At 40.6% G+C, this 13,600-nt stretch overlaps 1 pseudogene; it reads right to left on the reverse strand.

The window, feature by feature from the left end:
* Nucleotides 607-809, reverse strand: LOC654338 (brain cytoplasmic RNA 1 (non-protein coding) pseudogene; annotated as a pseudogene).

Consider the following 13,600-nt stretch of genomic DNA (forward strand, 5'->3'; position numbering starts at 1 on the left):
AAGCTAAATATGAATAAAAAATAGAAAGTTTGCCAAACTAGAACTCCGGTCAGTGTTCAGGAACCAAAATCTTGCTTTATTGATACCTACAGAAAATTCCTGGGATATTCACAGCTATTCTCAGTGCTTGCTACATCACAGAAATGCCTGTGATCCTCTGACCTTTTGATCAATTGCTCGCCTATTATCTAACATCTTCTGCTAAGTGAAGAGCAGGGTATCCCTAAGAGTAGGTGTTAATTATTATTATTATTATTTTTTTTTTTGAGACAGAGTCTGGCTCTGTCGCCCAGGCTGGAGTGCAGTGGCGCGATCTCGGCTCACTACAAGCTCCGACTCCCAGGTTCACGCCATTCTCCTGCCTCAGCCTCCCGAGTAGCTAGGACTACAGGCGCCTGCCACCATGCCCGGCTAATTTTTTGTATTTTTAGTAGAGACGGGGTTTCACCATGTTAGCCAGGATGGTCTCGATCTCCTGACCTTGTGATCCTCCCGCCTTGGCCTCCCAAAGTGCTGGGATTACTGGCATGAGCCACCGCACCCGGCCAGGGTGTTAATTATTAATATGTATTAATACATTGCATTACCCTTTCATTGGAGTGTTTAAAAGTGGGGGCAGGGGAGTTGTTGCTTTAAGGGGAGTTACGCTTTTTTTTTTGTCCTTTTTTTTTTTTTTTTTTTCCTTTTTCTGGAGAACGAGGTCTCGCTATATTGCCCAGGCAGGTCTCGAACTCCTGGGCTCAAGCTGTCCTCCCGCCTCTTGCCTCCCTGAGAGCTGGGATTACAGGCGTGAGCCACCGTGCCCGGCCAGGCTTTTGGATCTAGTCAAGTTTTATGAATTGTCCATTTGAATAAGAATGGCATTTTTCAATAAATCATTGCAGCCTGGATGAGTTTACCCCATGCACCCTCCAGTCAATTGCCCAGGAAAGAGAAATGCCTGAGTGGAGATATAATGTTTTTCTTCATTTCAAATATATTCCATTTATTTTTTCTAAAAACAGCACTCAAGTTTTGCTGGAAGTTCTGCCGAGCTCAGCCCATCCATGTGGATCAATTAAACAAGTTGATTCTTCCTCTGTCCTCAGAGGTGGGCATTTGACCCAGAACTAGCCAATTAGCATGCAGCATTCCACTGGTTCAGTGATGGGCATGTGACCCAATCAGAACCAATCAGAACTAATCCCAAGACCTCCCCCTGAGCTTGTTCCTCATCTGAGAGACAGAGATGGAGAGAGGGGGAGAGAGGGAGAGAGAGAGAGAGAAAGAGAGAGAGAGATAGAGAGAGAGAGAGAGAGAGAGTGTGTGTGTGTGTGTGTGTGTGTGTGTGTGTGTGTGTGTGTGTGTGTGTGAAGGGATGTTGGCAGAGGGGGACACGTTTTATGTGGGCCCATGTTAGAAAGATTGGGAGGGAAGAAAATAATGAGCATGATCTTTTCCTTAAAATCATGAAGAATGGGTGTTTTAAAGAGACAAATATGCCGATCAAGGCCTGTGTTCTTTCTCCTCGCCAAACTGGCTTCAGACCTGTGTGGAATTTAGGCAATGGTGCCCTTCCAATGGCAACAATAGGAAATTTGGTGTTAGCAGGTGCACTTCCCTTCATTGATAAAAATCCTTTGGAATTAGGTAATTCAAAATTACCTTGAGATGTAACTTTGAATTTAGAAAGATAGAATTGAAAGAAAAAGTGATGGATAATTTCTGGTGAAATGAATGGGCCTATGAAATATGTATTTCTCTTCCCAACTTGCATCAACTTATTTGGTATTTCAGTTTGTGTAATAGTTAAAACTCCTGGCAGAGCAGAGGCAGTAATTGCAAACAGCTGTAAAGTATTACTCATCTTGCTGATCAAAATGACTTCCCACTAAATAAACCATGAAAAAAGCTTTTCCACCCACAGAGAAGTGAAGTGTAAATGATATAAAGACTCTACCATGAAGAGATCAACAGATTGCATTTTCTTATAACTGTGGTTTTCTATAGCTACAGTTACCTTCAAAAATGGCTTATAAACTCAGCTAGTTCAGGAAAAAGAACTTGAATAATAACATTAAGATGGCAGTGGGGATCCTGGGAAGTGTTTGAAGTTACAAAGCTTTTGGAGAGCCACCTTGGTTCCCTTCTTAGGCTTTCCAATGGATGAAAACAACTTGCAATGTGGTCTTATTCTTGCTTGTTTTGGATATCACTCCAGGTCTCTTGCCCTTCGTATCTGAGAACCATTAGCTGGACATCCATGTCTTGGTCTTTCTATCATGGTTTTGAAGGGTGATGGAGCCATGGTGGTGGCGTCAATATGTTGATGCTACTGCCATGGGCATCTGACTGTGAGCTTCAGGTACTGATAAAAGAATAATCTGGTGCTGGAGTCACAGAGCTGACCTCTGATGTCACTCCAGCTACTTGCCCACACTACATTGGCAGCTCCTTGTGATTCTTCTAAACTAGGAAATTCACTGGGCAGTATTCACCAAAAACCAATAAAAATTTCTCTTCACACTCAGACATAAATCTCTCTCCTCTACCTATCTCTTTTCCCTAAATCAAGACTCATCTATAAGTTGATACTAAGCCTATCATTTCAGTCTTACTGCTTTTTTCATTTTTAGTTGAAATGTAATTGTACATATTTATGGGATACAGAGTGACATTTCAATATATGTATACAATATATGTATTTCTATATATGTAATGATCAAATCAGGGTAACTAACATATCCATCACATCAAACACTTATCATTTCTTTGAGTTGTAAACATTCAAAATACTCTTTCTTAGCTTTTTTAAAATATCCAATAAATTACTGCTAACCATATTTACCCTACAGTGCTGTAGACACTAGAACTCATTCCTCCTATCTAGCTGTAAGTTCGTATTTGTTAACCAACCTCTCCCTGTCGTCTCCTCCCTGTTGCTTGCCCCAGCCTGTAATAACCACAGTTCTACTCTCCACTTCCATGAGCTCAGTTTGTTTTTTTTTAGCTCCCACATATGAGTGAGAACGTGCAAGATTTACAATTCTGTACCTAGCTTATTTCACTTAACATAGTCTTCCAGGCTTACCCATGTTTCAGCCAAGAACAGGATTTCATTATTTTTATGGCTAAATAGTACTCCATTGTAAATATATACTACATTTTAAATCTATTTATCTGTTTTTGGACATTTAGGTTGATTCTAATCTTGGCTACCGTGAATAGTGCTGCTATAAACATGAGGGTGCTGGTATCTCCTAAATATGCTGATTTCCTTTCCTGTAGATAAATGCCCCATAGTGGGAGTGCTGGAAAAAAAAATTCTTTTTCTTTAAACCTGATCATGTCTGTCCTCATAAATGCATGTTACACCCATCTCTCACCATCAATGCAACCCCACCCCGAGCAGTTGTTCACTCTTCTCTTCCCTTGTTCTCTGCACACCATGTGCCTCCATACCCCAGCCTCAGGCCTTTCTATACCATTTTCTATTTGGGGCACATAGTTTTTATTCAACTTTCATGCTGTCTTTTGAGAATCTACAATGTGGTTTGGATATGGCACTTTTTATCAGGATGCCACATCAGAGTTGATAAATTCAAAGTAATATCGTTCTTTTTCCTGCCAAAGTCAGCTCCTCCTTTCCACTGCACTTTCCTGCCAGTGCCACCACACTTTCTCCTGTTGTGTAGGGAGAACACAGGTCACCTCCCTAACATGAAAAGGTGCTCAATAAAGATGTGTTGAATATATGAATGAGTGTTCTTAGAGGACACCCTTGTACCTGGACTGGTCCTTACATGGGTGTAAGTTTTATTCTCTAAAAGGGGTGAGTGAGAGTTTATGCTAAGATTGTAAGCAACCCTCAGGGCAGACTCTGGATGTATATTACAGAACTGCTGAACTTGTGGAATGTGCATATTTATACTGAAAATATTTAATGCCATATGTGTAAGACTTTTGCTAACTGGAATCTGAACATCAACAGCTTTGAAGGGCTTATTCTACCTTCTCAGCACAAAAATACTTTTTATGAATGCACATATTTATGTGCAAAAGTATAAAAAATTGACTTTAAAATATACAACAAATTCATTTTAGCAATTGGCCCTGGGGACCTAGAAGGAGAATGAGATTGGGGTGGTAGGGGTGGAATATTAGTTAATAATGCTTTATGTTATTGAAAATAATTACTGAAAACCAATACAATAAAATATTAACATGTTAATTGAGTATAGTGCTTATATTCTTCTTTACATGTTTTAATATCTTTACAATTCCTTTTTTTGCTTTTGTTAAGGAAGTCACAGTTATTTGGCAGTATGTCTATAATGGTACATGAAATAATGTCTGATTTCTAAACATTGACATCCTACATTAGATGAAATACATTAAGCATTAAGCTTTGATATTACACTACAAAATTAATTGAAGAAAGCCACCCCTGTTTCTTTCTTTTCTTTTTATGGTTATTATGTGCCCCATATGATGTGCAGGAGTTTTTTTTCTAGGCTTTGATTGTTTTAAATAAAATCAGAATTTGTTAAAGTTCAGTTAACACTCAGCTGTGAACCCTAAGGTACTGGGGTCTTTTTCAATGGGAGATCTTTAAGCATTATTCCAAACTATTCTATGCTAATTGATCTATTGATAATTTATAATTTATTATTAAATACATTCAATTTCTTAAAAAGAAAAAGCAAAGAAACAAAGGGAAACATTTATTACAATTTAAATAAAGGAATTAGCAGTTGAAAACAAGAAAACCTATTCTGAGCATCCGTACTTCTTGGCAACCAAAACAATCAATGAAATCAATGCATTGAGTTAAACAGTTCCCAATTTTCCACTATGTTACCTGGAGAAAAAAACCCCAGTATCATAGGGTTAAACTTTGGGAAGGATTTTTCATAAGAATCTTAATATAAAGGTTCTTGAATGACATAATGTACAAGGTCTTTGATAGCAATGCGCCCCACAGTGCAAAGATGTTTTACTAGTCCTGTTGGTGTCTCAAATTGGTTCTCGGTAAGTAATCTGGACATACTGTGAAATTATAATTCTGTGTAGACAATTCAACTTAAGGAGTTAGAGTGATGCAATCCAAATAGATGGCTTTCTTCTGATCTGGCTTAACAGAAATCTTGAAAAATCTGGGAGTAAATGTTGAATATATCCTCAGTTCTCAACCACTCTTCTTCTCTGAGAGACAACATCACAGGCAGGACATCCTCCCAAGGGTACACACAATATTATGTACAGTTCCCACACGAGAAACACATCATAATCTTAGTGACAATGATGTTCTCATAAGGTCAGTTATACTCAGTGTGCATAGTTGTCCAAGTGTGAGTATGAAACCAAGTTATTCGCAAGTACCACTACTCTGATTATTAGTAATAACAATCCACTTGTGACATAGCTTTTCTTTGCTGAAACAAAATATTGTTTTGACATCATGGTCAAAACATTGGTCTTAGGCAAATGCTCTCTATTATCTATTGTTGCCAAGCCTTTGAGAAGTGTTTTATGTGGGGCAAAAGGTCCCTTCCTGTCTCTTTGGTCAAAGCAAAGGAGGAGTACAGATGACTGAGAGAGTGATCACGCTGCTGTGCCCACCTATGAGGTAGACCTTGTTCCTGGATTGGGAGATGTTTTGTGCTGAGGGTGCAGTAGAAAGAGCACACAGCTAGCAGTAAAGAGAGGTGACCTTGACTGCAGCTCTGCCTCTGACTTCCTGAGTAACCTCAGACTAGTCATGCAGTGCCTGCTCCCACATTTCTTTTTGTAAGCTGCAAGGGCTGAATCAGACAACAGCCTCTAAGTTTCTTCTGAGCTCTCATACTCAGGGATGCCAATGATGTTGGCAGGATGAGCTACATAGTTTGTAGGACCCAGTGAAAAATGAAAGTACAAGGCTTCTTGTTCAAAAATTAAGCATTTCAAGATGCAACAGCAGATCATTGTAAACCATGTGCACAATGCTTCTGAGACCAGGGCTCTCTGCAACTGCCCAGTTATAGCCTTTGAAGATAGGATGGTGTCAGCTTCCCATTACGAAGCTGATTTGTCACTCAGGGCTCAGACGTTGGATCTTCCAGGCTGAAAGTGGGAGGAGAACACATGTTGTTCTAGTCACAGCCAGAGATAACACAAAGACAGCCTAACAAGGGCCCAGGCACAACACACATTGTTATAAAGAAGAGAAGAGGGTCACCTAGTGACTCAACACAAAAATGATCCTCTGTCCACATCTCCTCTCCAGGTTTCAGTCATGGTAAGGACTGTCCCAGGTTTCAGAGCCTTCAAAGAAGATCTTAACTCTGAAACCTGTGCAAAGTCTGGGGATAGCAGGTTGTGTACCACCTCACTTTCCTGTCTCTTTCTCTCTGAATAAACATCTTTTATCAGGAAGCCCAGCAGAACACAGTCAAGAAGCAGATAGGTGACTGCTATTCCCCTCTTGCTGAAAACGCAGCCACTTGGAGTCAGCTTGATGGCAGTGGTGGCTCAGGCCTTGAACACGTGAGAATAGACTATGTTGTCAAGATGCTGATGAACCGCACTTCTGCCTGACTTGGTGCGTTGTCTCAGGTCTCAGCACTCACAATGGATGCTCATAATCCTACACACAATCCCCAAATGTCAATGAGGATCATTGGCCAACCATACCTCAGTGCATGGGGGGTAGTAGGGTTATCCATTAAGGCCCCACCTTCCACCTCACAAATACTTCTGATCAGAGGGATGAGCTTGGGTAATTTTGGGATGCATGACAGGATGATGTCAGCAGACTGGCCAAATCCACATTCAGTATTTCCCATCATGAGGTCTTTGGTGTCAGGTGACATTAAAGAATGAGAGTGGTGAAGAAACACCTCTGGTGAACCACTTTCCAATAGGCTGAGAATGCAGCTTTCAAATCACTTCCATTACTTGGCATAAAGAAACTGGAAAGCTAAGTGAAAGAGAGAACACAGGGCTGAAGGTCAGAGGACCTGAGATCCTGCTCTCAATTCCCACTTACAGACTGAATGACAAAAGGTAAGTCATTTGTCCTCCTGTATTGCTGCTTTCCTATTGAAAAACAGCAATAAACTACTTCCTTCATGGAGACACTATGACCAGAAAATGAGGCAACCTATAAAGCACACATTTAAATATAAAATCACTGCTGGGCATGGTGGCTCACGCCTGTAATCCCAGCACTTTAGGAGGCTGAGGCGAGTGGATCACCTGAGGTCAAGAATTTGAGACCAGCCTGGCCAACATGATGAAACCCCGTCTCTACTAAAAACACAAAAAATTAGCTGGGCATGGTGGTGGGTGCCTGTAATCCCAGGTACTCAGGAGGCTGAGGCAGGAGAATCGCTTGAACCTGGGAGGCAGAGGTTGCAGTGAGCCAAGATCCTGCCACTCCACTCCAGCCTGGGTGACAGAGCAAGACTCCATCTCAAAATAAATAAATACAAATAAAATCACTCTGCAACTAGTGGGTACAACTTGAGTTTCTTTTTTTTTTCTCTCTGTCTGTTGCCCAGGCCATCATGCACGCTGGTGCAATCTCGGCTCACTGCAACCTCCACCTCACAGGTTCAAGTGATTCTCCTGCCTCAGCCTCCTGAGTAGATAGGATTACAGGGGCCCACCACCACGCCTGGCTAATTTTTGTATTTGTTGTAGAGACAGAGTTTCACCATGTTGGCCAGGCTGATCTTGAATTCCTGACCTCAAGTGTTCCGCCCACCTCAGCTTCCCAAAGGACTGGGATTACAGGTGTGAGCCACCATACCCGGCCCAACCTGAGTTTCTTAAAACCTCATAGGCCTCATGGATTCAATAAAATAAGTCATGATTATGATAATAATTTTTAGAGGTTCCTGTAAGGTAGAAACTGCTGTTATTTCAACTTCCCAAAATGCCTTGTGGGGCCCTAAGGCTATCTGTATAATCTAGAAATAGATATATATTCAAATTAGCTATGTCACATCAAAATTTGGAGAAGAAGTAAAAAAAAGAAATTTAAGAGATTTACTCCACCAATCTCTTGGTAATTTTTGTGTTCATTATCAGTAAGCTGTGTGCATCCTTTTAGAGTGCTACTGTTTGAGAAAAGCAGCATTGAAGTTGCTGCTGATCTTGGTCATGCATTTTCAGAGTGTGCTTATCAGCAGACTTGGATGCTGTTGGGGTTCTGTTTTTGATTTGCAATTTTTCCAAGACAGGCTTTCTGTTGCCCAAGCTGGAGTGGGTAGCTGCTGTTTCTCAATAGACAAGTCCTAGAAGTAGAGATAATTCAATTTTCATTCACTCTTAGCTCTTCTGCCACTGGTGTTCCTCTTTGACCCCGACAGGGCTGCACCTGTCTTCCAGGCCTGATGTAGCACTTGTATGGTTTGCCACTTGCCAGAAGATCCACAAGCCATTCTAAAAGCCTTTTGCCCAGTAGAGACCACTCCAGTGAGCACAAATTGTCTAATGGCTTTTTTTAGACGGTCTTCCTCCTTAGCTCATTTTTCTCCCAGAACAAAGATATCAAGGTGTTGATTTAGCAGCGGTTCCTGAAGGACAATCCAGCTTGGTTGAAATCTTTTCATTATAATAGAAAATATAATAGCAACAGTAGCATCCCCTGTTACACTGAAATTAAATGACTACTCTTTCACTGTTGGGGTGGCAAGTATAATTTCTATCACTTCTTTGGAAAGCAATACAACTTACTAAAGATCACCAAAATGTTTATACTTTTTGGAACCAAAAACCTCACTGAAAAAAATTATTCCAAGAGTATATTTCAACAGAAAAAAAAAACAAGTAATATACATGCGTATGTTTCTCCCTGTGAAAACAACAACACAGAATTTATTAAACAAGTTTTGAAACACTTGGCTATGTGGTAACATGGAACAATGTTCTCCTATAACGTTAAAGGATAAAAGCTTAGAGAATAGAATATATTCTATGACTGCAACTATGAAAGAAAACATAGATCTACATAGGGACAAAGGTGATAAACATGCAAAAACAGGTGTTTGATTCATGGATTATGTGTATTTTTCCTGCATTCAAATTTATCTTTATTATTGCTTTTTTATGTTCCCCCTTCCTCCCCCCAAAAAATCCTAAAGATCTTGAATATGCCCCTATCGGTATTTAACATTTCATCTGAAACTGGGTCTAGATGACTCAATCTGCTCCAGTTTTTTGAACAAGATGAATAGCAAGGTTATTCTTTCCATTGTTTTTTTTTTTTCTTTTCTTAACAGCCAGACACAGGTCTTTAATTATACAGCTGGCTTCTTTGTTTGGGATACGTTACTTTCAATCATTTTCCTGATCCTCTGCATGATTTACAGAAGCTGAGTGGGAGGCTTTAGCATTTCCATGGTCCTCCTTCTCCACTATCATGAGATTCTTATGTGAATTTTTTTTAGAGCCATTATTCTCCATTTGCAAAGGCAGAATGCAGTGGCAGGAGCTGGGACTCTGGGAAACCAACGGCCAAGAATTCAAACTACAGCATACTATGAAACACTCAGATAAGATGTCCCCATCATATTCTATCACTGGGCAAAGTAAAATGTAAACCACGTACTCAAAACAGAAAATATTGTGGGTGACAGTGACATGGGTATTCAGAAAGAAGAAGAAATGCAATTAAGAAACCAGGCAAAGAAGTAAACATGCCATGTAGCTTACGAAAGACCAGCCACATTGTGTGTATTTTAATATTGTTTAATGGTAACACCTAATAGAGCATCATGATTGTGTGAACTAAATTTTCAGTCATAATGAATGCTACAAACTTCACTTCCCAAGTTTAAATACGCTACAACGTCTTGGGAAAAATGCAAGAAGAATTATTTGATAAATGTTTCTCTTCCAGCCTATCTTGATCAACAGCCAGCAGCAACACATTGCAGATACAATCTCAAGACCTTGTGGCATGCATTTGTCACTACATGCGTAACTTACTATGGACAGAGGATCACAGAAATTTTGAATATAATTTCCCACATGACAGGAGGTTAAATAGACCACACTGGAAGAAGGCAAGAAGCAGCTAGTTCTCTGGAGTACCAAAAAGTAAACTTCAGCCAGTTCTGGAAGCAGATAAATAGCAGGAAATATACTTTCACATGGGCTACTTTCTCAATAGTTCTTGCTTGCAAGAGCTCTAGGGAAAGTATGAGTTACTGGGTAACAATGTAATAGAAAAGGGGCCAGCCTTGGGAAAAATTGCAGTGGAAGAAAATCAGTGTCTCCTCATTTACATCTTTCTTTCTCCTCTTCCTTTGTAATGCTGCCTTTCTTGGGGTATTCTTTCCCCTAGAATACCCTGCCTGTCACCCCACAACAACCTGCTCTTGAGACTGCATTTCTAATACCTATAATGAGATGTTATGTCAATGCCTCATCTCTCAGTGTGTGTATAGACATATTAAGCTTTCTCTCTATGCTGTGTTTTCTCATGCAGGAATATCAGACATTAATGAACCAGTAAAGAGGATGCTGGGGTGCAGAAGAGCTTTCCCAGTGTCCCGGGAGCCATTCTACACAGCATCCTACAGCATGACTATGGATCTGCTGTGCTTAGTTTCTTTACTTGTGAAAACAGAGTAATAGTAGCACCTACCTCACAGGATTGTTCTGAAGATTAGAGGGGTTTTTTCATGGAAAGCTCTAGAGCAGTGCTTGAGACATGGTAAGTGCTCAACATGTGTTCATTATTAGTATCATTATCAATATTTGATGTAAAAGCCTTTCTGAAAGAAATCACACAAGAACATGATCAGTTAAAAAATACATATGAATGAAAGTATGTTTGGTGCTGACACAACACAGACTGGCATAATGGTTAGGAACATAGAGTTTGGAAGTCAACCATCTGTGCTCAAAGCCTAGTGTCACCACATGGCCATTGTGGGACACTGGGCCTCAGATTTCTGTGGGGAAAAGAAAGAGAGGTCAGATTGTTACTGTGTCTGTGTAGAAAGAAGTAGACATAGGAGACTCCATTTTGTTCTGTACTAAGAAAAATTCTTCTGCCTTGAGATGCTGTTAATCTGACACCCTACCCCCAACCCCGTGCTCTCTGAAACATGTGCTGTGTCCACTCAGGGTTAAATGGATTAAGGGCTGTGCAAGATGGGCTTTGTTAAACAGATGCTTGAAGGCAGCATGCTCGTTAAGAGTCATCACCACTCCCTAATCTCAAGTACCCAGGGACACAAACACTGCGGAAGGCTGCAGGGACCTCTGCCTAGGAAAGCCAGATATTGTCCAAGGTTTCTCCCCGTGTGATAGTCTGAAATATGGCCTTGTGGGGAGGGAAAGGCCCTGACCGTCCCCCAGCTCGACACCCATAAAGGGTCTGTGCTGAGGAGGATTAGCAAAAGAGGAAGGAATGCCTCTTTGCAGTTGAGACAAGAGGAAGGCATCTGTCTCCTGCCCATCCCTGGGCAATGGAATGTCTCGGTATAAAACCTGATTGTATGTTCCATCTACTGAGATAGGGGAAAACTGCCTTAGGGCTGGAGGTAGGACATACGGGCAACAATACTGCTCTGTAAGGCATTGAGATGTTTATGTGTATGCATATCTAAAGCACAGCACTTAATTCTTTACCTTGGCTATGATGCAGAGACCTTTGTTCACGTGTTTATCTGCTGACCTTCTCTCCACTATTATCCTGTGACCCTGCCACAACCCTCTCTCTGAGAAACACCCAAGAATGATCAATAAATACTAAGAGAACTCAGAGGCTGGCAGGATCCTCCGCATGCTGAACGCTGGTCCCCTGGGCCCCCTTATTTCTTTCTCTATACTTTGTCTCTGTGTCTTTTTCTTTTCCAAGTCTCTCATTCCACCTAACGAGAAACACCCACAGGTGTGGAGGGGCAACCCACCCCTTCAGATTTCTAGCCTGAAAAATGGAGGAACAATGTCTGTCATATAAAGTTGCTGTAAATATAAAACCAGCTAAGAAATGTAAAATACTCAACAGTGTCTGACACAAAATAAACACCCAATTAATGGTAGCAGCAAGAAAAGAGCTCTCTTCAACCAACATCTTACCTTCAGAAATTGGTTAAGAAGAAATGAGTGCTTGGGAACCTTCCTGTTAGAGCTGGGGAACACAAATAACCCCAAGATATGACCCAACTGGGAAATGAGGCACCAGAGTCAGCAGGTCTCAGGACTCGAGAACATGTCATAGATCTGGGGCCAAGGGGACTTCCCAATACCCCAGTCCTGAATTAGCCAGATGTGCCTTTCAGTCCTTGGCTGAGCTGGACTGAGGCCTCCTCCAAAGGGAGAAATAAATGTGCATCCTGAAGAGAGCTGACTCTGAAAGAGAGAGAAACCCACAGAGGCTGAGTTTCACCAGCACAACTACTTCCAAGCACATTCCTCAGGTAAGTCATTTCTCTTCCCAAGGGGAGGATTGAATGAGTTTATGGTGAGAGGCTGAAAGCTTTTCTCCTTTATTTTCCCTCATGGGAGAGGAGTGGAAGTACTATGTTCTCTGTGGGAATCTGCAGACTATGGACGTTTCCCCCAACAGTTGGCATTGACTGATTTATCTGCATGTCTCTCTATCCACATCTTCTATATGAAGAATCTAAGTGGGAATAGCCTCCAAAGTACTCTGATAGTACCAAAGCACTATTCTAGTTTTGTATAATTTTTAAGTCTCTTCTTTAAATTTTTTTTTTGCAGACTCCATCCTAGACACAGCATACCAGAGTCTCCAAAGGGCTAAGCTCAAGAATCTATTCTGAAGCTCCCAACAGGAGTCTTATATAGCCAGGCAGGCAATGATCATATTTGGGGACCATTAGAAATAATCGAATGCATATACTCTGAACTTCAAATTTTTAATATTCTCGTTTTCTGCTCAGTAAGCTCAATTTCAATGCAGTTCACAGTTTCTCATATCCACCATGGCATTCTGCCAAGGAACTACAACTTGTATTCTCTAAACCCAACTGTTCTAAGAATGCTGGGCTGCTTATCAACTTCTAATGTACCTTGCTTAAACTTTCCTCTCTCGATGTGTCCCTGACTGAACTGCAGAAGACAGAACAACTGTACTAGCCATCTCTTTCTGCATATCCCATGTCTCCACAGAGGCCACGGTGTCTTCACAAAGCTAACTGCAACGATTTTCGCAGGTGATATTTTCCCTTCATGATTTTCCATTTTCTACTTGAGCATTAAAATATCAGGAAGAAAAAGAAGATATAACCATATAGCAGTTGGTAAAATAAGATATCTGCCCCAGCACAGCCCATACTAAGTATTCAGAATTTACAGTTATATTAGATAACTACAAATTAGATAACTATTAACATAGTTATATTAGATAAGTAATATTTTCTCATCTTCAAGAACTAAAAAATTAACTTTTAAGTGATATTCAAAAAAGGAAGATACTCACTCACATCAACCCAATTAAAACCACATTTTCTATAGCTGGATGTAACAATCTTAATCCAAATCATTCACAAAAGTTGTTTAACATTCTTTTTTTTTTAAATTATACTTTAAGTTTTAGGGTACATGTGCACAATGTGCAGGTTAGTTACATATGTATACATGTGCCATGCTGGTG

Source organism: Homo sapiens, chromosome 21 (genome assembly GCF_000001405.40).
Source record: "Homo sapiens chromosome 21, GRCh38.p14 Primary Assembly".
Lineage (NCBI taxonomy): Eukaryota > Metazoa > Chordata > Mammalia > Primates > Hominidae > Homo > Homo sapiens.